Source organism: Homo sapiens, chromosome 7, assembly GCF_000001405.40.
Source record: "Homo sapiens chromosome 7, GRCh38.p14 Primary Assembly".
Classification (NCBI taxonomy): Eukaryota; Metazoa; Chordata; class Mammalia; order Primates; family Hominidae; genus Homo; species Homo sapiens.
In genome coordinates this window covers 65,503,632-65,529,140 of record NC_000007.14, presented here as the reverse complement: position 1 = coordinate 65,529,140, position 25,509 = coordinate 65,503,632, and the positions used below count along the sequence as shown (strand labels likewise).

Genomic DNA, 25,509 nt, shown 5'->3' with positions numbered 1-25,509 from the left:
TTCCCTTACTAGTCTGTGAGATTGTTGAGTGTACAGCTGTTGTCTTTTTATTTTTGTATTCTTGTTCCTGGTAACTGTAGACATATAATTGAATGGTTGCTAAATATTTGTTTAATTGAATGCATGAATGAATGAACAGATGAATGGAAAGAAGAATGAAAAGGAGTGGAGAGTAGTCGTTAAGGGAAAGGATTTTGGAGGCTGGATTTATCTCCTAGCTCTGGAATTTATTCTTTGTGACCGTCAATATGTTATTTAATCTTTTTGTGTCTTTTCTCCATATATAAAATGGGACTAATATAGTATTTACTTCTCAGGGTTATAGTGAGGATTTAAATGAGTTAATATACGTCTAAAGCCCTTAGAATAGTACATGACACATAGTGGCCGGGCGTGGTGGCTCACGCCTGTAATCCCAGCACTTTGGGAGGCCGAGGCAGGCAGATCACCTGAGGTCAGGAGTTTGAGACTAGCCTGCTCAACGTGGTGAAACCCCGTCTCTACTAAAAATACAAAAAAATTAGCTGGACATGGTGGCGGGCACCTGTAATCCAGCTACTCAGGAGGCTGAGGCAGGAGAATTGCTTGAACCTGGGTGGCGGAGGTTGCAATGAGCTGAGATCATGCCACTGCACTCCAGCCTGGGTGACAAGAGCAAAACTCCATCTCAGGAAGAAAAAAAAAAAGAAAGAAAGCACAGTAGGTGACACATAGTAAGCTCTATTTAGGTGTTAGCTGCTGCTAATATTTTTATTTTCCTGCTGATTCAGAACCCATAGCATCTTTACTGTCATGAATAATATTATCTTTATGCACTTAAATTGGCTATAGACTGAATTTTAAGATAATGTTCAAATCATAAAAGTTGTTTTATATGCTCTGGATTTTTCTTTTTATAGGGCTCTATGGAGCAAGTCAGTTCTCATTTCTTGGAGCAGACCCTTGACAAGAAGCTGATGTCAGATCTGAGGGTACCTTTTATTCTTCGTTGTTTAAACTGGGTTTCTGTAACCAATGTAGGGGGGCAGTATTGTGAGTTGTGTTGATTTAACTTAGCAGCATTTGTTAAATTAACGTATGAGAACTGTATTACATTTTAATTTAAAATCTTAGTAAATTGAAGCAAATAACAAGTGACTTCATTAAATTTCGTATTATTGTAATGAAATACTTTGCACAGGTTATGCTTTACAAAAAAGAGGCAAGATTAATTTTCTAAGCCAGGTGCAGTGGCTCACACCTGTAATCCCAGCACTTTGGGAGGCTGAGGCAGGTAGATCACTTGCGGCCGGGAGTTTGAGACCAGTCCGGCCAACATGATGAACTCCGTCTCAACTAAAAAACAAAAATTAGCTAGGTGTGGTGGCATGTGCCTGTAGTCCCAGCTACTTGGGTGACTGAGGCAGAGAATCACTTGAACCCTGGAGACCAGAGGTTGCAGTGAGCCGAGATCGCACCACTGCACTCCAGCCTAGGCAACAGAGTGGGACTCTGTCTCAAAAAACAAAACCCAAAAAACAACAACAAAAAACCCCCAGAAAACCCCAAAAGATTAATTTTCTATTTGTTAGGAACTACAAAGGCCCATTCTCATTTTGTGAGATGGTATGACATTTTAGGACTCCTTTTCAGCAGCAGTTACCATGGAAGACTGAGTAAAGCCTTTCTCCAAACAGTAACAAAATACCCCCCACCCCACGCCATTTTTTCTTCTTTTTTTTTTGAAACTGGGTCTCACTCTGTTGCCCAGGCTGGAACGCAGTGGCACAATCATTACTCAATGCAACTTTGATCTCCTGGGCTCAAGCATTCCTCCCACCTCACCCTCCTGAGTAGCTGGGACTACAAGCATACCTCACCATGCCCAGCTAATTTTTTTTATCTTTAGTAGAGATGAGGTCTTGCTCTGTTCCTCATGTTGGTCTTGAACTCCTGAGCCCAGGCAGTCTTCTTGCCTCTGCCTCCCAAAGTGCTGGGATTACAGATGTGAGCCATTGTGCCCGGCCCCAAATGCCTCTTATGAAATGCCCTTAAGCTTTGATTGTGATGGTTCACTAACGTGGTTTGCAGAACCAAATTTGAGTCTGAGAAAATAATATGTACATTCATTGTTAGTACCTCAATTTTGAAATTATAAAAGTGATATTATAGAGTTGTAGAATTTTTGATAAGGGAAAGGAAAACAATTTACCCATATGCCTGCTACCCTAATATAATGACTTTGGTCATTTTGGTATATGTCTCTCAGCTCTTTTTCTGGTGCGTGGTTTTTTTGTTTGTTTGTTTGTTTTGTTTTGTTTTGTTTTGTTTTGTTTGAGACAGGGTCTCGCTCTGTCGCCCAGGCTGGAGTGCAGTGGTGCGATCTTGGTTCACTGCAACCTCTGCCTCCTGGGCTCAAGTGATCCTCTCACGTCGGCCTCCTGAGTAGCTGGGACTACAGGTGTGTACCACCACACCCGGCTAATTTTTTGTAGTTTTTTAGAGATGGGGTTTCATGAGAGGCTGATGTATAAAGCAGAGTGCCAGGTCATTCATTTGTGATGAGAACCATAACTGTCAAGTGGACTGGATACACTAACCGGTATATTCCACCTTAGGCAATCTCTGTGTAAAGTGAGTTTACTAGATTATTTAGTGACTGTACTGTAGCTGAAATAGAACGCAATGTTGCCAAATAGAAAAATACTTTTACTGGGACTGAAGATAATTTTTTTTTTTGAGGCAGAGTCTCACTCTGTCGCCAGGCTGGAGTGCAGTGGCATGATCTCGGCTCACTGCAACCTCCACCTCCTGAGTAGCTGGGACTACAGGCACGTGCCACCACGCCCAGCTAATTTTTGTACTTAGAGTAAAGATGGAGTTTCAACATGTTGGCCAGGATGGTCTCAATCTCCTGACCTCATGATCAGCCTGCCTTGGCCTCCCAAAGTGCTGGGATTACAGGTGTGAGCCACCTGCTCCCTGCCCGATAATTGTTTTCTTAGAGTCAATGTATTGTCTACCCAAGATGGTTTTTTGGAGGGGCACTGCCATTATTTGCCTCTCTGGCTCTCTCTTTTCCTATGTTGCTGCCACAGCAAACATAACCAACTTTCTTAACACATTCTTCAGCTATCTTTATCCTCTTTAATTAGGTACTTTCAGCTATTATAGACCAGCAAGGCTTTGGTTTCATTTTAAGTTGAATTTGCATTTCTCTTGTATGAACTACTGATAATTTTTACAAACGTAACTCTCAAAGAGCAGTTTTATTTTCTGCCTTCCCATGTTCTCAGGGTTCATCTTAGTGTTCCTTCATGAACCTCCTACAATTGGTAATTGTTGTTGTCCTCTGCAGAGGAAACGTACTGCACATGAGCGTGCCAAGGAACTTTACAGTTCAGGGGAGTTTTCCAGTGGCAGAAAGTGGGAAGATGATGCTCCCAAGGAAGAAGTAGATACCGGGGCTGTGAACTTGATTGAGTCAGGAGCTTGTGGAGCTTTTGTTCATGGGTTGGAAGATGAGATGTATGGTAAGTATGACTGTATAATAGCAATAGCACTCTTTAAGTGACTGCTGTGTGTCAGGCATTGTACTGGGTGATACACATGTATCGTTTCATTTAGTCCTCACAGTAACTCTGGGAAGTACTTACTATGCTTTTTATTTTACACACAGAAGAGACTGAGGCCCCAGTAGTGTGAGACAATGGTAAAGAGCAAGAGATTTGGGTTCAGTCAATCTATATTTAAATTCCAGCATTTTTATAAAACAGGGATAATAATAACTATCTTTCTGAGTTGTGAGAATTAAATGAGGTTCTGTATACATAAAGCACTTGGCATAATACATGTGCCTATTTATAATAAGCACTTAATAATTGGTAATTAAAATTGATATTAATAAAAATAATAACTTGATATTACTTACCCAGCTAGTAAGAGACAGAGCAAGATTTAAACCTAGGTATGTCTGACTGCCAAACCTTTATATGACTGATGAATATTTTATTTCACCTTCATTTTTGAAAGATATTTTTGGGCCAGGCGTGGTGGCTCACACCTGTAATCCCAGCACTTTGGGAGGCTGAGGCTGGAGGATCACTTGAGGCCAGGAGTTCAAGACCAGCCTGGTTAACATGGTGAAACCCTGGATCTACTAAAAATACAAAAAATAGCTGGTATGGTGGCATGCACCTGTAATCTCAACTGCTAGAGAGGCTCAGACACAAGAATCACTTGAACTCAGGAGGCAGAGGTTGCAGTGAGCTGAGATCGTGCCACAGCACTCCAGCCTGGGCAAGCAACAGAGCAAAACTCTGTCTCAAAAAATAAATAAATAAATAAATAAATATAGAAAGATATTTTTGTGGGAATCCAATTCTAGATTAATAAGTTTTTTTTTTTCCAAGAGACTTTTTTGTTTTTTGAGACAGGGTCTCACTGTGTCACCCAGGCTAGAGTGTAGTGGTGTGATCACAGCTCACTGAAGCCTTGACTTCCTGGACCCAAGCAATCCTCCCACCTCAGCCTCTCGAGTAGCTGGGACCAGAAGCACATGTCACCATGCCCGGCTAATTTTTTAATTTTTTGCAGAGACAGGGCCTCCCTATATTGTCCAAGCCAGTCTTGAACTCCTGGGCTCAAGTGATCCTTTTGCCTTGGCCTCCTAAAGTGTTGAGATTGCGGGCGTGAGCCACTGTGCGTGGCCTCTACCAGTCTTTTAATGATATTGCTCCATAGTTTTCTGTTGAGAAATCTGCTGTCGTTTTTATCTTCCTCTGTATATAATGTGTCTTTTTATCTCAAGCTGCTTTTAAGATTTCTCTTTATCACTGGTTTTAAACAATTTGATTATGATATGCCTAGGTATAGTATAGTTCATGTCATGTTTCTTTTGTTTGGAGTTTGTTGAGCTTCTTGAATCAAATAGTTTTCATCACAGTTGGAAATTTTTTTTTGCTATTATTTCTTTCTCTCTCTTTTTTTTTCGGGGGGTGTGGCGGGGACAGAGTTTTGCCCAGGCTGAAGTGCAGTGGTGTGATCTTGGCTCACTGCAATCTCTGCATCCTGAGTTCAGGCAATTCTCGTGCTTCAGCCTCCCCAGTAGTTGGGACTGCAGGTGCCCGCCACCACTCTCGGCTAATTTCTGTATTTTTAGTAGAGACGGGGTTTTGCCATGTTGCCGAGGCTGGTCTCAAACCCCTGAGCTCAACTTATCTGCGCGCTTCAGCCTCCCAAAGTGCCGGGATTACAGGTGTGAGCCACCATACCCAGCCACTATTATTTTTTTAAATTTCTCTGACTCTACAGGCCCTTTGGCGACTTTCATTACACATGCATTAGGATACTGACATTGTTTTGCAGCTCACTGATGCTCTATTCTTCCTTCCTTCCTTCCTTCCTTCCTTTCTTTCTCCAGTTTTTATTTTCTCTTTGTGTTTGATTTTGGATAGTATCTATTGCTTTGTCTTTGAGTGTTGCAAGATATAATCTGATGTTAATCCCACCCAGTATATTTTTCATCTCGGACATGTAGTTTCTGTCTCTAGAAGTTTGATTAGAATTTGGGTTTTTTCCACCCTGGACCACATAAGGAGACCCTATCTCTACAAAAAATTTAAAATTAGCCAGACATGGTTGTGCATTGCCTTTAGTCCCAGCTACTTGGGAGGCTGAGGCAGGAGGATTGCTTGAGCCCAGGAGTTAGAGGTTGCAAGGAGCCATGATCACACAAGTGCACTCCAGTCTGGGTGACAGAGCAAGACCCTGTCTCAAAAAAAAAGAAGAAAGAGTTTGGGTCTTTTTAGTATCTACCATGTCTTTCTTAACATACTTAATCTTTCCTCTAGCTTTGTCAACAGATAATATGTTTATATTGTCTTACTATCCTTGTTTACTAGGACTATTATTTCTGTGATTCCTAGGTTGGTTTTGATTGATTTTTTTTCTTCCAGTATTATATATTCATCCTGTGTATATTCCATCCTGTGTCTTTTCATGTCTGATAATTTTTAATTGGATGCCAGACATTATAGATTTCACTTTATTGGATACTGAACATTATTTTATTCCTATAAATATTTTTGAGCTTTGTTCTGGGATCCATTTTTTCAGGTCTTATACTTTGTTAGGCAGGATTAGAGTAGCATTTAGCCTACAGCTTACTTTTCTCCACTAGTGAAGCAAAAAACTCTTCTTTTTCACTACTTGAAGCACAAAACCTCTTCTTTTCTTTTTTCTCTCTCTCTTTTTTTTTTTTTTTTTTTTTGAGACAGGATCTTGCTCTGTTGCCCAGGCTGGAGTGCCAAGGTATAGTCACGGCTCGCTGCAGCCTTGACCTCCTGGGCTCAAACAACCTTCCCACCTCAGCCTCCTGAGTAACTAGGACCACAGGTGGGCACCACCACACCTGGCTAATTTTTGTATTTTTTGTAGAGATGGGTTTTGCCATGTTGCCCAGGCCAGGCTTGAAGTCCTGGCCTCAAGCAATCCGGCCACCTCAGCCTCCCAGAGTTTTAGGATGACAGACATAAGCCACCACACCTGGCTGCAAAATTCTTCTAAGTTAACTGTGGTTTTATAGGCCCTGTGTGACCTCTGGAGATTGTTTCCTCTCATTGTTTTGAGTGGTTCTTTTCCAGGCCTCAGATGGTCTCTGTCGCACAGATCAGAATTCAGCTGAAGACTTGAGGCGACCATCTGCAGATCTCCCAAGCTCTCTGTCTCTCTGTGTAGTTCTCTCCTTTCCAGAAATTTGCTCTATGAACTCTAGCCACATTGGACTTCCCAAACTCCTAGCTCAATCTTCTCAACTCAGGGAGAGAAGACCTAGTGCCTGGAGTCTCTCTAAACGGAATTGTAATCATTGAGATCACCTCATTTATTTCCCATCTCTCAGGGATTGCAGTCCTTTATTGCCAGATGCCCAGTGTCTGGAATGCTGTTGTTTCATATATTTTGTCTCTGTCTCATCCTTGGAGGAAAAAGCTGGTCCTCATTACTCCATCTTGTAATAGACATCCTATAAAGCCCATGTGATTTCCGTATGCTGTCTGTCTCACGTACATCTCAGAATTTCAGTGCTTTGAGATGATTGACTCCAGCCTCTTCATTATCAGCAAGGGTAACAGACCTGGTGAGGTAATGTTGATTGTCCACGTTTTACAGTAAATTTGTGCCAGAGACCTGTGCCAGGTCTTAAAAATGCCTATACAATCATACCTCAGGATAGAACTGCTTCTTAGAAGGGCAAGAATATTATTTTTGAAAGAAAGTTTTTCATCAGTAGATGTAAGAATTGGGTTATCCTATCATTTGTTCTAAAATGTTCCATATGTATAGAAAGTAAATCTACCTCTGCTTTTTGATTCTCTATGAACTTAAAATATGAATTACAATTTAAATAATATTGGATAATAAGGAAGTCCAGTTATTAAAACCTATTTTACTCTAAAATGAGTAACTGAAACCTATTTTGTTTCTATTAGCATTTTTGCTTTGTTGCGTTTCTACAACTGAATTTCATCACTTTTAACATTTATATGATTTAGTTATACAGTTTTCAGTTTGCCATTAAGATTTTTTAAATACTTTTTTTTATACTTTTAAGTTCTGGGGTACATGTGCAGAACGTGCAGGTTTGTTACATAGGTATACATGTGCCATGGTGGTTTGCTGCACCCGTCAACCCGTCATCTACGTTAGGTATTTCTCCTAATGCTATCCCTCCCCCAGCCCCCCACCCCCTAACAGGCCCCAGTGTGTGATGCCCCCCCACCTGCAGTGTCCATGTGTTCTCATTGTTCACCTCCCACTTATGAGTGAGAACATGCGGTGTTTGGTCTTCTGTTCTTGTGCTAGTTTGCTGAGAATGATGGTTTCCAGCTTCATCCATGTCCTTGCAAATAACATGAACTCATCCTTTTTTATGGCTGCGTGGTATTCCATGGTGTATATGTGCCACGTTTTCTTTATCCAGTCTATCACTGATGGGCCTTTGGGTTGGTTCCAAGTCTTTACTATTGTGAATAGTGCTGCAATAAACATATGTGTGCATGTGTTTTTATAGTAGAATGATTTATAAGGCTTTGGGTATATGCCCAGTAATGGGATTGCTGGGTCAAATGGTATTTCTGGTTCTAGATCCTTGAGGAATCGCTACACTGTCTTCCACAATGGCTGAACTAATTTACATGACCTCATTTTTATATCTTTTTTTTTTTTTTTTTGAGATGGAGTCTCCTTCTGTCACCCAGGCTGGAGTGCAGTGGCACGATCTCAGCTCACTGCAACCTCTGCCTCCCAGGCTCAAGTGATTCTCCTGCCTCAGCCTCCTGAGTAGCTTGGACTACAGGCACGTGCCACCATGTTCAGTTAATTTTTTGTATTTTTAGTAGGGATGGGGTTTCACCATGTTATCCAGGATGGTCTCAATCTCCTGACCTCGTGATCCACCCACCCCGGCCTCCCAAAGTGCTGGGATTAGGCATGAGCCACCACGCTGGGTCCTCATTCTTGTATCTTAAAAGTCAGTGATGTTGAGTAATTTCTCATGCTACGACCTCCATGGTTGCCTTTCTTCTGCCTTCTTCTCTCACTTATAAGGAAGCTTGTGATTTCGTTGATCCCACCCATTTAAGATAATCTCTCCATCATTTTATTGCAACCTTAATTTCACTTGAAATCTAATTTCCCACTGCCATGCAACCTAACATATTTGTATGTTAGACTCTGGGAATTAGGACATGAACATTTTTGGGAGGCCATTCTTTTGTCTGCAGCAGACATAATCTATTTACCTGCAGATTAAAGTGTTCTTTATTTTTCTGCCTCCCCCTCTTAATTTTTTTTAAATAATATGAATTGTAGTAAAGAGAAAGAAAAGAAAAGAAAGAAAGAAAAAAGAAGGAAGGAAGGAAAGAAAGAAGAAAGAAAAGAAGGAGGAAATGAGAGAAGGAAGGGAGGGAAGGAGGAAGGGAGAAAGGCAGGAAGGGACTAAAAAGAAAGCAAGAACACAAGAAAGAAAGAGAAAGAAAGAAGAGAAAGTGAGAAAGAAAGAAAGGAAGGGAGGAAGGAAAGGAGGAAGAGAGAATGGGAAAAGGGAGGAAGGCAAAGAAACAAAGAAAATAAAGAGGAGAAGGAAGGAAAAAGGAGGAAAGGAAGGGAGCGAGGAAGGAATAAAAGGAGGGAGGGAGGAAAGGAGAAAAGGAAAGAAAAGAAAGTGAGAAAGAAAGAATAAGAGAAAAGAAGGAAGAAAAGGGAGGGAGAAAGGAAGGGAGGGAGGAGGGAAGGAAGAATAAGAGAAAAGGAAGGAAGGAGAAAAAAGAAAAGAGAGGAAAAGAAAAAGGAAAAGAAAAGGAGGAAAAGAAAAAAGGAAGGAAGAAGGCAAGGGAAGGGAAGAGAAGAGAAAGGAAGATGGAAAGAAGGAAGGAAGACCGCAAATATTAGAAATTCTGGGTTTGTTAGAGAATATGCCATACTGTTTTTTTTTTTCACTTGAAAGAGTATCTGCCATTGAAGATTGGATGTCTTGTTGGTGATATTGTTCTTATCTTCCATATGATTACTGAGTTTGTGCCTAGTCTGTCCATTACTAAGACAAAAGTGTTGAAGTCTGCAAATATAATTTTGGATTTTTCTAGTTCGCCTTTGATTTCCTTCCTGTTTTGCCTCATGTATTTGGAGGTTCTGTTGTTAGCTGCATACCCTAATTAGTAGGATGTTTACAACTTCTTGAGAATTGATTATTGTATTATCTATTATCTCTCATCTCTGATACTATTTCTTGTTCTGAACTCTGTTGTGTCTAATATCAATGTAGTCTTTCCACAGCTTTATTTTAGTGTTTCCATGATATGGCATTCTCCATATCTTGATGATAACCTATTTATATCTCTATATATTTGGAGCAAGATGTAAAATTTAGACTTGATTTTTTAAAGATTTTTCAAGATGTAATTCTTATTTATTTTTGTTCTATTTGACATTCTCTGAGTTTCCTATATCTGAAGTTTGATTTTCTGTCACTTCTTTTAGAATATTTTTGGCAGTTATTTTGAAAAATATTTCTTTTGCTCCGTTATTTTTTCCTCTTTTCTTTTTGGAATTTCAGTTGTAACTAGGGTAGGTAATTTCATCTCAGTCTTATGCAGGTGCTTTTTCTCAGGGTCCCAGGAATGTAGCCTTCTCACACTTCTGTTCTTTTCCTGGCTGTGTTGGTGAGCTCAGTGGTATTCCTCCTTCACCTTCAAGAGCAGTTTTGTTTTTCCTGTTTTCATACTCCCAGCATCAGGAGTATTCTAAGTGTGGCAGTTTTTGTTGCCTTCCCCTACATGTTAAGTGGAATATCTTGGTCTATTTGGACTCTTATAAAAAAATAACATGAACTGGGTGACTAAAAAACAATAGATATTTCTTTTTTCACACTTCTTGAGGCTGTAAGATCTCAGGTCAAGATGCTCACAAATTCAGTGTTGATGAGAGCCCATTTCGTGGTTCATAGATGGGGCGTTCTTTCTACATCCTCACATAGTGGAAGGCACACAAGAACTCCATTGAGCTTCTTTTATAAAGGCACTAATCCCATTCATAAGGGCTCGGCCCCCAAGACCTGGTCACCTCCCAAGTGTTCTGCTCTCCCTGATCTGTATCATATACAGACTCTCTTGGATTCCTTACCAATTGCTTGAGAGATCACAGTGGGTTTTGGGGAAAAAGTTTTCAAGATGATGGATCTTTCCCAACTTCTGCAGCTGTCAGCGGTCTCCCAATCTGACCGGCCCCACTTTGTCTTCAGGAATTTAATGATTATTCCAGCTTTACTTGTCATACTGGTGTCTATTTGCATCTGTCCTATGTAAGTGCATCTGTCCTCTTTCTCCTTGCAAGTGCTTGTTTTCCCTCACATTTTGACTCAGTTCTTGGCAACCTGGTTGCTATAAAAATAAAGTCATGACTTTGAAGTTAGTTGGGTTCTTTCATTGTTGTAAGGTTAGGAGCCCTATTCCATCCCAGCTCTCCAAAACCCAGAATTTTTTGGGGGTTGAAATTTTAGGCTTTCTCTTTGAATTGTAGTTTTATCTTATTTCAGTTACAATTTGCATTTTCATAATGATTAATGAGACTAAGCTTTTTTTGTGTAGTTGACTGTACCTTTGGATTTTTTCCCCAAATCCCTTTTCATTTCTTATTTTCTTTATGGTTTTAGAAAATGTAGTTTACGTAATTGCAGCTTGACTTTTTCCTCAGTTAATGGCATGCTTATTGGAGAGAAAAAAGATTAACTATATTTCCCTTTTTAATTACTGTGCTTTTTTCTTTTTTAAGGTAATATTTCATTACATTAAATTTTAGTGTTATTCTACTGAGCTATTCCTTAAATATTATAGTATTTTGGATTTCACATATAAATTTGTAACACATCTTGAGTTTATTATGTATAGAGTAAGGCTATTTTCTTTTTTTTGTTTTTTAAGGTAAAAATCACATAATATAAAATTAATAACAACCATTTTAAAGCATACAATGCAGTTGCTTTTAGTATATTCACAATGTTCCAGGACAATTTCATCCTGTCCCTTCTGAAAACCCATTATCCATAAAGTTGTTACACCCTATTCTGCTTCCCTGAGCCCTAATGACCACTAATCTGATTTATATCCCAATTGATTTGCCAATTCCTGATGTTTCATCTGAATAAAATCAGGTAATATTTGTCTTTTTGTGCACTTAATGCTTTCAAATTTCACCCACATTATACCATGTATAAGTACTTCTTTCTTTGTTATAGCTAAAAATTGGGTGTCCATTTATGAGTCAACAAGCCTATGGATTGTTTCCACTTTTTGACTGTATGATTATTACTGCTGTAAATATTCATGCACATGTTTGTTATTTGAGCACCTATGTTTTGTAAGATTAACAGCTGACTTAACAGAAACAATGGAAGGCAAGAGGCAGTAGAATAATATATTCAAAAGATGCAAAGGAAAAAAAACTGTCAGCCACCAATTCCTTATCCAGCAATTATTTTTCAAAAATGAAGATAACACAAAGACTTTGCCAGATAAACAGAAATATTAATTGAAGTTGTTGCTGGCAGACCTACCATACAAAAAAAAAAAAACAAAAACAAAAACACCAAAATAAATTCCTAAGGCTAAAAGCAAGTTACACAAGACAGTCATTTGAATCCACATTTTTAAAAAAGCACTGGTATAGGTAATATTAACATTATAAAAGACAGTAGAAATGCATCTTTTCTCTTTATCATAAATTGTTTATAAAATAATATGTGTATAATGGCCGGGCACGATGGCTCACACCTGTAATCTCAGCACTTTGGGAGGCTGAGGCGGGCGTATTACGAGGCCAGGAGATCGAGACCATCCTGGCTAACACAGTGAAACCCCGTCTCTACTAAAAATACAAAAAATTAGCCGGGCGTGATGGCGGGCGCCTGTAGTCCCAGCTACTCGGGAGGCTGAAGCAGAAGAATGGCATGAAGCCGGGGGATGCAGCTTGCAGTGAGCGGAGCTCACTGGAGTGGCACTGGAGTGCCACTGCACTCCAGCCTGGGTGACAGAGGGAGACTCCGTCTCAATGATAATAATAATAATATGTGCATAACGTATTGCTGAGTATTTGACATGTAGAAATGTAATATGTGTATAACATATTTCCCAGTAACATTAAAAAGGAGGTAGTTGGAAGAAAAATGTATCGTGATAAGATAATCACTCTAGATGGTAAAGTAATAATTACTAAAATGCATTGTTGGCTTTGTAACTTTAATAGATGTAATGTGTAAAGTGATAATACTTTCAAATGGAGGAAATAAAAGAGATTTGAATAAGAATGATGTTTCTATGTATTACTAAAAGTTTACTAGTATAAATTGGAAGATGATTTGAGTAATTAATTTTCCATATACCTACATGGTAAACTTACAACAACAACAAAAATTCTCAAAAATATATAGTAAAATATTTCATTAGTAATCTAAAGTTCCCTATTTTAGAAAATATTCATTCATTGCAAAATAAAGCAATAAAGAAAAATATTTGAGAAATATACAAAACAAATAGTAAAATGGCAGACATAAATAGAATTATACCAATTATAATATTAAATGTGAGCAGATTAAAATCCAATCAAGAGGCAGAGATTGTCAGACTGGATTAAAACAAGTGATCCCAATATACGCTGAGATGCAAGGATACTAATGGATTGAAAGTAAAAAGATGACAAAAAATATCATGCAAAGAGCAATCATAAAAACACTGAACTCATTATACTCATAACACAATATAGACTATTAAAAATGTGAATAGGATTTTAAAAATTTTTATTGTAGGAATAAGGAGGTCAACGCTTTAGGAAGACATAGCTATTACAATCATGTATGCACAGATTTGAGCTAAATTGTTTCCTCTATACAGATGCTGAAATCCTAACCACTGAATATGACCTCATTAGGAAATAGGTTCCTTGCAGGTGATCAAGTTAAGATAAAATCAGATGAGCCTGAATTCAATATGACTGATGTCCTTATAAAAAGAAGAAATTTGAGTAGAGGGAGACATACACACAGGGAGAGTTCCATGTGATTATGAGGGCAGAGGTTAGCCAAGGAATGCCAAAGACTGCCACAAAACCACCAGAAGCTAGAAACAAGGCATAGAACAGACTTTCTCTCATAGCCCTTGAAGGGACCATCCCTGCCGACACCTCAATCTCAGACTTTTAGCTTCCAGGACTATAAGGCAATAAATGTATGTTGTTCAAGGCACCCAGTTTGTGTTACTTGGTTATGGCAGCCCTAGAAAACTAATACATGAACTAATAACAAAGCATAAGAACATGAAGCAAAAATTCACAAAAGAGGAGCATCAGCAAAATGGCAGTGGAGACAGCTGCAATCTTTCATTTCCCCACAGAAACATCACACAACTAAGAGAAACTGTCCGAATAAACTTTGCCAAAACTCTGGAAAATGGTCAAAAGATTACAACAACCAAGTGAAAGCAGACTCAAGGAAAAGACAACTGGAAAACTTTACGACATTTTTAACTTGCCTTTGCCCCAGCAAATTGGCAGTTCTGAAGTGTCAGAAGCCCACGTTCCCAGTGAGGAAGCCTGGTCCATCGCCCAAAGGAACAAGAGAAGATCTTACCCGCAAATTATTATGTGTCTGTTCTGACTGGTCTGGGGGATACCTGAAGGACTAGTGAAAGGCTTTTTTTTTCTGTGTTGCTAGAATACAGAACAGATAAGGAATGGACATTATTAAGAAACTCAGCAAGGAGACCTAAGAAACCACAGACGCTTAGGGCAAAAATTAGAGTTTACACATACAGTAGATCACCTTCAGCACAGGAAGAAAAGTTGGAGAAGAGTATTTGGAAAACTAAGACATTCAACATTCACGTACATGGGAGAGTCTAGAAAGTCACATGTATGCATAGGTTAAGCCACATGATGACAAATGTCATAAGAAGAGCCTACACTTTTACCTTGGCCGATCCCTCCCCTCAGTGCAAGCTCTGCGCAAGAGTGAACTTGAACTTCACTCAGTGCAAGAGTGAACATACACTTTGTGCAGGCTTTAAAGAACCCAGCACAAAGCCAGTCTGCATGGCCTAGAGACATATTTTGCTGGCTAATGATTACTTGTTTTTCTTTTTGTTTTTGTTGTATTTGCCTGTTTGCTTAGTTCCTGACATACAAGAAAATCACTGTCAAAACATTAGCTTAACATTTATTAAGGAAACAAAAAGACTTCGGTGACCACACCTTATAAAGCAAACAGTTTTGTAAATCACTTTGGAAAATTTCACTAAAAATAAAAACTTTAACAATGTAATAAGTAAATAAAATTTAAAACCACAAAACATTAGTGTGTTTGTAGGGGGGGGTCTGATTTACAGAGTAACCACATAGTAATTATAATTATTATAATGTGCAGTTTTCAAAAAAAGTTACAAGGCATACAAAGAATGGGAAAGTATGGCTCATTCAAAGGAACAAAATAAATTGACAGAAAATATCTTTAAGGAAACCCAGACATCAAACTTACTAGACAAAGACTTTTAAACAACTCTCTTAATTATACTCAAATGTCAAAAGGAAAACATAAACAAAGAAAGAAAGGAATCAGAAAAAAGTATTAAAAAGTAGGAATATCAACAAAGATAACAAATTCTGGAGTGGAAAACTACAATGATAAAAATTAAAAAATCAACAGAGGGATTTAAGAGTATATTTGCCCACGCAGAAGAAATCATGAAGATAAGAAAATGGAAAATACTGACTCTGAGAAACAGAAAGAATAAAAAATAAAAAATGAGCAGAGACTAAGGAATCTGTGGGACACCATCAAATAGACCAACATTCATATTCCAGAAGGATAAATTATGTTAAAAACTTTACCATTCTTTCTTTCCACCTTTCTTTCTTCCTCCCTCCCCCTCCTCTTTTTACTTTTCTTCCTCTTCCTTTCTCTTCTTCTCTCCTTCATTATCCCTTTCGCTCTGTTTCTTTCTCCCTTTCTCTTTTTTCTTTTCTTTCAACTTTCCCAATTACTAAGAGATGTTTAAATACCCTTACCATGTTAGTAGATATGGTTATTTCTCCCTTTAGTTCTCTTTTGAGATTTATAGTCATTCTAAGTAAAGAGATAACCCAAACATAAGCCTCACAAACAGGCTTCCATACCATTCTTAATTTGGTCCTGTAATTCTTCATTGCTGTATTAACTTTCTGATGCTTTTAAGGATGTTTTATAACAAATTGTTTAGTTTTTTCCAATGGAATGTTTATTCTGAATTCTCTAATTCATATTGTACGTATATAGGGAGTTTAATATAAAATTATTCAACTAACACTTCTGAAAGAATGTATTTGTGCATTTAACAAATATGTTAATCCTCAAACTGTTATTGGGCAGCTGAGCATACAGCAATAAAAATAACATAATTTTTAGGTGTACAATATTTATGGAATACATTACTGGAACAAATAAATAATTTAGTTAATGACATGACAAAGAACAGTAGTTGTATACACTATAGAGCATAGTAATGGAATAATGAGTGATTACAGTTATTAATATTAGGTAGAAAATGAAGGGTATCTTTGAGAGCAGAACTCAAGGAAGCAAGCAATTCACCTTGTGAGGAAAGAGTTACCTGTGGATAAAGAAGAAACTGAAAAATTTACAAGTCAAGACTTTTTGAACAAAAACAAAAATATGACTATTAGTCACCAATTCAGTACAGCGAAAAAAAATTTGAAGAGATATCTTGGAAGTAAACCATGTTGTGGAAGAGCATGTAGGGTTTTGATAATCATGGGATGATTCTGAATTAATTTTAAATGCGATAGGAATGTATGAGATAATTTCACCAGAGAATAACATGATTGCGTTTGCATTTCAAAGGGGTGTATCTGGTGCACTGTGTAGAATAAATGGTTATGTGAGCAAATAAATTGGGAGGCTATTGTAATCCAGAGAAAAAAGGTAGTGACTTAGGTGAGAATGCTGTGAGTATGAGTGGTATTAGTGGTGAGAAGTCGTTAGGCCAGGATGTATTTCATAGGACTGGCCAAAAGAACTGCAGCTAAATTGGAGTGTAGGGAGTGAAATGGAGAACTCAAAGATGACTCTCAGCACTGGAAGGTGACATCTGTCACTGAAGCATGCTGATGCCTCTTATTAAGAGAGTTACTTGGGAATGGCAAGATCAAAACTTCTCACTTTCAATTTTATGAAAAATATTGTTTTCAGAATGAATGACTTTGGGATCAGAAAGCCATCATTCTAATTGATGGTTCCACGACTACACAGGCTCACACTCCTAAGAGCAAAAGTAAATCATCACAAAGGTGCTTCCTGATAATTCTAGAGAATGGAGAATTACTGTAACATCTTTCTGATTTTAGGAGAGGTAGCAGTTCCCTTTTTAGCCTAAACGCTATTTTTTTTAAAGCTCAGCCAAGAGACTCCATTGTAATTTTCAAATGTGTGTAACTTAAATTCTCATATTAAATACCACTATGCTTAAATTAGTCAAAACATTTTCCCCATCTACAACTCTATCTTTTCACTGCAATCATTTTCACAAAAGTGACTGCAGCTAACAGACCCTAAAAGGGGAAAATCTAGGGTAGGTTATCTGATCTAGTTAGTTTTGAAGACAGGATCTAGAGATTATTTCATATGAAATAGGTCACCTGAAATGAAGTGTTTACTGAAAACAGCTTGGATCAGCCCAGTTTTCTACCACTGAACCATGCATTTGGTTTAAAAAACACAACAACTCTGGGGAATATTGGCTGCTTCCAACTGTGTTGAAGGTGTTAAAGAAAAGAGCATAAAAAATGATCATCTGAGGCCTTTATAATCTCTGCTCAAGAGACTAGAGTGTTCCATTCTTAAAGAAACACTCAAATATCTTAATAATCGGGCAAAATCTAAATATCAGAGAGATAATTTTATCTTGAAGGTTGTTAAATTATAATGGTTATTCACTACCTTGCCACGTCTCTGAGTCAAAAATTAGATCTTTGTTTAGGAATCAATGGTACTCTGCAACTTGGAAATAGGAAGATTTTAGAAGACTCAAACATTGACTTTCTTGTGTGCAAAAAAAAAGACGTATTGAGATAAGACAAGTTTTTCCTTGCAAGGATACCTCTAATGCTAATACACCACCTCCCCTAATGTTAATATAGCTTCAAGATCACCAACCAGTGTCAGAGAGCAGCCTATGCAACTACAAATTCAAAAGATGTCGAACACAGGGTCAAGCCTAGAATAAGAAGTCTTAGCTAATTAAGTATGCTTTTTTCCCCAGATCCATATTAACAAAAACTTGGATATGTCAGAGAATGCATTCTAAGTTCACTCAACCTAGGAGGGAGAAACATAATTTTAAATTAAGAGCTGAAGCATTCTTGCCCTAACAAAAAGCAAGGAAAATCAAATATCACACCACAGGCGGGATTTCACAAATTAGTGTCAACATCCAAACCTTAAAATAGGCAAGGAAAATGCAGATTCACAATTAACTCTTGTACTTGTTTTGTTCAGAGAAGAGATGGTTCTGAGAGAATGACAGTGAATTAACCCCAACTGGTTTAGTTGGTACTTTCAATTGCTGCTTCTGATAAACTCCTTTAGCTAGAATAAATTGATTAGGATTTTGGCATGTGATATTAGAGATGGTTATTAATTTTTTCCTCTTATTTGCATTGTTCAATGTAGTAAATACTAGCTGTATATGGCTACTTAAATTCAAATTAATTACAATGAAATGTACTTAAATAATGAATTTTTTAGTCACTGTTGGTTCATTAATGAATATCTTCAGCTAAGATTTCCCAACTAAATACACTAAGAGGTGGCTTAGTTAACTGGTTGTCCACAAAAATTGAGGCTGTTAACTCCTGATATATTCTCTGCAAATAGAATATTCAGTGAGCCTCCTCCTGAAACCAGCAGCCTAGAGATAATTTTATAAATTGGATACAAGTTGGAAATCTATAGTCTTTAAGTTTTTGAAATATCAGCTTCCCAGGGAAGAAAACCAAATTCATAAGATATGTTAGGACAATTTAACTCAAGATGTTCAAAACTGAAATGACATATTCTACAATATGTGATAAAACCACCCCCTAACAACTTAAAGCAAAACAAGGATTGACCTTAAAGACCTGCCTTTTCCTCATCCCCCAGCCAGTTTTCAAATCTTGCATTTTTGAAAGGTTCTTATCCCCCTAGTCTCTTGTTTCTAGACTTTGCACATATTCAAGTTTGTTACGTCTATTTACTGACTTTCCTCTCTTCAAACAGTATCTATGTCTGCCAAATGTGAACATACAAAAAACAAATCAGAATGTGCCATTCTGATTTAAACTGCTTATTAGTTAATACCCTCAAGATAACATCTAGGTTCTTAGCTGCACTGAGTCAAGCCCACTTACATCTTTGTTTTCGGGTGCACTTTTCCTATCACATCACACTCCAGCAATGCCAAGCTGTGCCAGCCTTCTACCTCCTTTCCACTATTTTGCCCCCGCCGAAGCGGCCTTTGAAGCTTTTCGTCCCCCGGCGCCGCGGCTTTTTGCCACCCCGGGTTTTTGCCGCCGCGGCTTTTTGCCCCCGCCGCCGTGGCTTGCTGCCGCCGCTGCCGCGGTTTTTTGTGGTTTTTTACCCCAGCTCCCACTGCTTTTTGCCCCCACCGCGGCGGCTTTTTGCTGGTTTTCGCCCCTGCCGCCGCGGCTTTTTGCCCCCGCCTCAGCGGCTTTTTCTCGCCGCGACTTTTTTCACCCGCACCGAGGCTTTTGCAGCTTTTTGCCCCCTGCCGTCGCGGCTTTTTGCCTCCGCCGCCGCGGCTTTTCGCCCCCGTCGCCGCGGCTTTTGCGGCCTTTTGCCTGGGCCGCCGCGGCTTCTTGCCCCCACCGTCGCGGCTTCTTGCCACCGCTGCTTTTTACCCCCGCCACCGTGGCTTTTTGCCCCCGCTGCCGAGGTTTTCTGCCGCCGCTGCCGCGGCTTTTTGTGGTTTTTTTGCCCCAGCTCCCACTGCTTTTCGCCCCACTCCGCCGCGGCTTTTTCCCCCGCCGCCGCGCATTTTTGCCACCGCGGCTTTTTGCCCCCGTCGCCGCTTTTTGCCGCTGCAGCTTTTTGCCCCCGCTGCCGAGGTTTTCTGCCGCCGCTGCCTCGGCTTTTTGTGGTTTTTTGCCCCAGCTCCCACTGCTTTTCGCTCCCCCCTCCGCGGCTTTTTGCGGCTTTTAGCCCCCGACGCCGCGGCTTTTTGCGCCCGCCGCCGCGGCTTTCTGCTGCCACGGCTTTTTGCCCCCCGCCGCCGCGGCTTTTTGCCCCCCGCCGCCGCGACTTTCTGCCCCCGCCGCCGCGGCTTTTTGCTCCCGCGGCATTTTGCCCCCTGCCGCCGCGGCTTTTTGCCCCCGCCGCCGCTTTTTGCCGCCGCGGCTTTCTGCTCCCGCCGCCGCGGCTCTGAGGGCGGGAGCGGCAGACTCCGCTGCCAGCTCTACTGGCGTCCTGGCAAGGGCAGCGCCGAGGGGCTCTCCCGGCTCGGGGGTTCCTTGCCTAGGCGCCCGAGCCCCGGGCTCCCTGCCTCGGCCGCTGTGGCCTGCATAGGGCGGCACTGCGCGCGGAGGCGATGGGAGAGAAGAAGGAGGGCGGTGGCGGGGGTGATGCAGCGGCCGCTGAGGGTGGCGCAGGGGCCCCGGCCAGCCCGGGGCTGCAGCAGTGCGGACAGCTCCAGAAGCTCATCGGCATCTCCATTGGCAGCCTGCGCGGGCTGCGCACCAAGTGCGCTGTGTCCAACGACCTCACCGAGCAGGAGATACGGACCCTGGAGGTAAGGGGTTTGGGGACCCGGGCTGGGCTCGAGCAGCGGCCCGGACACCTCCCTTGGGGCCCCAGTTCACTCCTGGCCGAGTTGCATCCTTGAGCCCGCGTCGCGCCCTTGGAGGCTTCCCCTCCCTCCTGCACTCGCTGATGCGGCAGCCGAGAGACCCGGGACCAGCCCTCACCTTGGGCAGGATTTGTGGGGCGGGTGCTTGGTGGGAACTGGGATGGAGGCGCTAGGGTCCCGTGGGGCGGGGAGGGTGAGGGTGGGCTGCGCGCGGACATCCCCTTACCCCCGAATTTCCATCTGGTCCGGCCCTCTCATCTTGTAGGTGAGGAAACCAAAGGCCCGAGGGAGAACTGACTTGCCAGGAACCCCTGTTAAGGAGAATTACCAAAGTGTGGTTATTAAAGGAGAACTGAGTTGGGAGTCAGACCTGGAGTCCCACACCCTTGGTTAAGTCATTATACCACCTTGAGTCTGGCCTGTTGACTGAGGGTGAGCCACTCCATCCTCGTCTGATTGTGGGGTCTTGACCTCAAGGGGTTTCGTGCAGGAAGAAGCAAATGGGTTTGCTTTCCTAGCTCTGTCCAGTACCTTAGGGACCCTGAGGACTGAAGCGATTCTTGGAGAGCCATCTGGTGTATGTCATGCGTGGGCCTTTCTTGAAGGTCTGTCTGCCCAGTGGGCTGGCTCAGCCCGAATGAACTGTCTTGAATCTTTGGAGTTGTCTGTGTACTTTTAAGGGCTTCTCATCCTTGCACCAAAAGATCCCCTGGAAATTAGGTGGGAAAACCTTACCTTTTGTGGGGCCTTGTGTTTGTCTTAAAAGTTCATGCACATGGCCAGGTGTGGTGGCTCACACCTGTTATCCTGTCCTGGATCCCTTGAGTCAAAGAGTTTGAGACCAACCTGGACAATACAGTGAGACCCCGTCTCTACAAAAGATAAAATATTAGCCAGGGGTGGCTGTGCGCATCTGTAGTCCCAGCTAGTACTGTGGCTGAGGCGGGAGGAGCACTTGAGCCTGCACTGAGCTGTGATCTCACCAGTGTACTCCAGCCTGGGCCACAGAGCAAGACCTTGACTCAAAAACAACAACAACAACAACAAAAATTCTTGAAGATTTTGCATTCTGTCCCACTATCCATTGGTTTTCGTGTCAAGATAATGTGAGAAATTCTTTACAATTGCTTCCAGAAGGAATAGCCTTTTGATTTAGTGCACAGGTGTCCAGTCTTTTGGCTTCTCAGGCCCACATTGGAAGAAGAATGCTCCTGGGCCACACATAAAATACACTAATGCTAACAACAGCTAATGAGCTTAAAAAAAAAAAAAAAAAAAAGGTTTGTGCAGAATTTTGATGATACCCACCACCAAAGATAGGCGGAAAAGTCCTTGTAGTCACAGGGTTGGACACGGCTGATCTAGTGTCTTGTCGTCCGTTTTGGCTTTCTCCCGGTTTCCAGAATGCAGGTAGAGATGTAGAGACGTGCTCTCAGGACAGCTGTTGAGATAAAAAAATTCGTTGTCATTTATTCCCAAGGACAGCTGTTTGTCATTTGCATTGAAAAAGTCTCCATTCAAACTGCTGTCACATATAAAATCTATTTATATAAGTCTGTATTTTTCTGTTGTCTTGGCCTTTGTGGGCAGTAGTGTGTTTTAACCGAGCAAACTGTCCTTCCAAATAATGAAGCCGAAGTCAGCCTGCCTGCTTGCCATTTTTCTTCCCCTTCCATTTTTCTAACCTCAGGATAGTTGTAAGAATGAATTAAGATTTGTGTTTAAGGCCGGGCACAGTGTCTCAGGCCTGTAATCCCAGCACTTTGGGAGGCGGAGACGGATGTATCACTTGAGCTCAGGAGTCCAAGACCAGCCTGGGCAACATACTGAGACTCCGTCTTGTATAATTAAATTAAAATTTAAAAAAAGAAGAAAAAAAGACCTGTGCTTAAAATTTAAAAAAAGGGGGGAAAGTGTAATGTGAAATGTAGACTATGCCAGCCATGATTGGGAAAAATAATTTTTCATACAGCATTATCTGTAGACTTGTATTAGCAGCATACTGGTCATAAGCGTTTTGCTTTCCTCAAATATGATGAGGTAAGCTACTTTAAAGTGTGGTGGGGCTTTCTTCCATGTGGCTCCTGGAGGTGTTGAGTCCCAATTTAGCCAATTAATTTGGGTTTAGTTTTGATATGGATAAGGGAGACCAGCTTCATTCATGGTGCACACACAGTTTTGCCAATAAGGAAAAAAAAAAGCCACCTGAATGTTCCTACTCATTAGATGCTATCTGGAGAGCTCCTACCCCACCCGCACCAAGGCCCGGGCCCTTAAAAAGACTCAGTGCAGCCTTTCTGTATCTCATACTGTATTCTGCAAGATGCTCCTGTGAAAGAAAGTTGTGCTGCACCAGCCATCTCCCTCCTGAAGATCCCTGCGGATGAGGATTTGTGTTTTAAAGGTTCTGAGAAGTCCTGCAACAACAGTTCTCAAACTTATTTGTCCAGGGGATCTTTTCTTCCACTGAACGTAGTTGGGGAGACACGGCCTTAAGCCTTGAGCAGAGAAAGAGACAAGAAACTGTTGGCTCACTTACAACCAAGTGTTGTGTTTATGTTTTAGGTTTTTATGAAACTGAGGTGCTGTTTGAGGTTCTAAATCAAACTGGGTGGTTGAAGAGAGGCTGGTATCCCTGTAGACTTAGCCAGCCATGAGAGGTTGCCTTTTGTTGAAGGACGTGTTTTACAAAGGGAAATAGGGTGTCTCTTGGGCATCACATTAGCACTTAAATACATGTATCACTGAAATGAAATGAAATGATGAAATGATGAAATGATGAAATGAAATGGTCAAATGAAGAAACGAAATGATGAAATGATGAAATGAAATGATGAAATGAAATGATGAGATGAAATGATGAAATGATGAAATGAAATGATCAAATGAAGAAACGTAATGATGAAATGATGAAATGAAGAAATGAAGAAATGAAATGATGAAATGATGAAATGATGAGATGAAATGAAATAATGAAATGATGAAATGAAATTGAATGATGAAATGAAATAATGAAATGATGAAACAAAATGGTGAAATGAAATGAGGAAATGAAATGAAATGATGAAATGAACTGATGAAGTGAAATAATGAAATGATGAAAAGATGAAATGATGAAATGAAATGCTATGAAATGATGAAGTGAAACAATGAAATGATGAAATGAGAAGATGAAATGAAATGATATGAAATGATGAGATGAAATGTAATGAAGTTATGAAGTGAAATGATGAAATGATGAAATAATGAAATGAAATGACGAAATGATGAATTGATGACATGAAATGAAATGCAATGACGAGATTAAAAGGTGAAATGAAACGAAATGATTAAATGAAATGAGATGAAAAGATGAAATGATGAGATGAAATGAAATCATGAGATGAAATGATGAAATGAAATGATAAGATGAAATGAGAAATTGAATGATGAAATGATGAAATGGTGAAATGAAATGAAGTGAAATGAAATGATGAAATGATGAAATGAAGAAATGATATGAAATGATGAAATGAAGTGAAATAATGAAATGATGAAATAAGGAAATGAAATGAATTGACAAAATGAAATGATGAAATGAATGACAAAATGAAAAGATGAAATGAAATGAAATAATGAAATGAGATGAAAAGATGCTATGAATTGATGAGATGAAATGAAATCATGAGATGAAATGATGAGATGAAATCATGAGATGATGAGACGAAGTGAAATGATGAAATGATGAGATGAAATGATGAAATGAAATAATGAAAGGATGAAATGATGAGATGAAATGATGAAATGATGAAATGGAATGAAATGAAATGAAATGGTGAAATGAAATGAGGAAATGAAATGAAGAAATGAAATGATGAAGTGAAATGATGAAATGAAATGATGAAAAGATCAAATGATGAAATGAAGAAATGATATGAAATGATGAAATGAAGTGAAATGATTAATGAAATAATGAAATGAAATGAATTGATGAAATGAAATGAGATGAAAGATGAAATGATGAAATGAGATGAAAAGATGAAATGAGATGAAATGAAATGATGAGATGAAATGAAATCATGAAATTATGAAATGATGAGATGAAGTGAAATGAGGAAATGCAATGATGAGATGAAATGATGAAATGAAATAATGAAAGGATGAAATGAGATTAAATGATGAAAGGATGAAATGAAATGAAATGAGGAAATGAAATGATAAGTCAAATGATGAAATGATGAAATGGAAAGATGATGAAATGATATGAAATGAAATGATGAAATGATATTAAATGATGAAATGAAATGATGAAATGAAGTCAAATGATGAAATGATGAAGTGAAATGAAATGAATTGATGAAATAAAATAATGAAATGAGATGAAATGATGAAATGATGAAATGGAATGATGAAATGAAATGGTGAAATGAAATGAGGAAATGAAATGAAATGAAATGATGAAGTGAAATGATGAAATGATGAAATGAAAAGATCAAATGATGAAATGATATGAAATGATGAAGTGAAATGATTAATGAAATGATGAAATGATGAATTGATGAAATGAAATGATGAGATGAAATGATGAAATGAGATGAAATGATGAGATGAAATGAAATCATGATATGAAATTATGAAATCAGATGAAGTGAAATGATGAAATGAAATGCAATGATGAGATGAAATGATGAAATAATGAAAGGATGGAATGATGAGATGAAATGATGAAAGGATGAAATGAAATGATGAAATGAGGAAATGAAATGAAATGATAAGTCAAATGATGAAATGATGAAATGATAAGTCAAATGATGAAATGATGAAATGGAAAGATGAAATGATGAAATGATATGAAATGAAATGACATGATAAAATGATATTAAATGATGAAATGATGAAATGAAGTCATGATGAAATGATGAAATAAATGAAATGAATTGATGAAATAAATGAATTGAGATAAAAAGATGCAATGATGAAATGAAATGAGATGAAAATATGAAATAAAATGATGAGATGAAATGATGAGATGAAATCATGAGATGAAATGAAATGATGAGATGAAGTGAAATGATGAAATGTTGAGATGAAATGATGAAATGATGAAAGG

General features: G+C 39.5%; 1 pseudogene across 2 annotated transcripts in view, besides 1 other annotated feature; it reads left to right on the top strand.

Annotated features, from left to right (window-relative positions):
• Nucleotides 1–25,509, top strand: part of LOC101929322 (integrator complex subunit 4 pseudogene) — a 62,731-nt pseudogene that overhangs the window by 25,925 nt on the left and 11,297 nt on the right. For both annotated transcript variants that reach the window (NR_157837.1, NR_157838.1), the window contains 2 exons: nt 900–971; nt 3,338–3,512. The product of NR_157837.1 is annotated as an integrator complex subunit 4 pseudogene, transcript variant 1 (transcript). The remainder of the gene's footprint in view (nt 1–899; nt 972–3,337; nt 3,513–25,509) is intronic.
• Nucleotides 18,956–19,954: an enhancer, noted in NCBI's record as "H3K27ac-H3K4me1 hESC enhancer chr7:64974100-64975098 (GRCh37/hg19 assembly coordinates)". NCBI's record gives its function as "activates a minimal SCP1, AML or CMV promoter by ChIP-STARR-seq in primed H9 embryonic stem cells {active_cell/tissue: H9 hESC(primed)}" and the evidence as "EXISTENCE:reporter gene assay evidence [ECO:0000049][PMID:30033119]".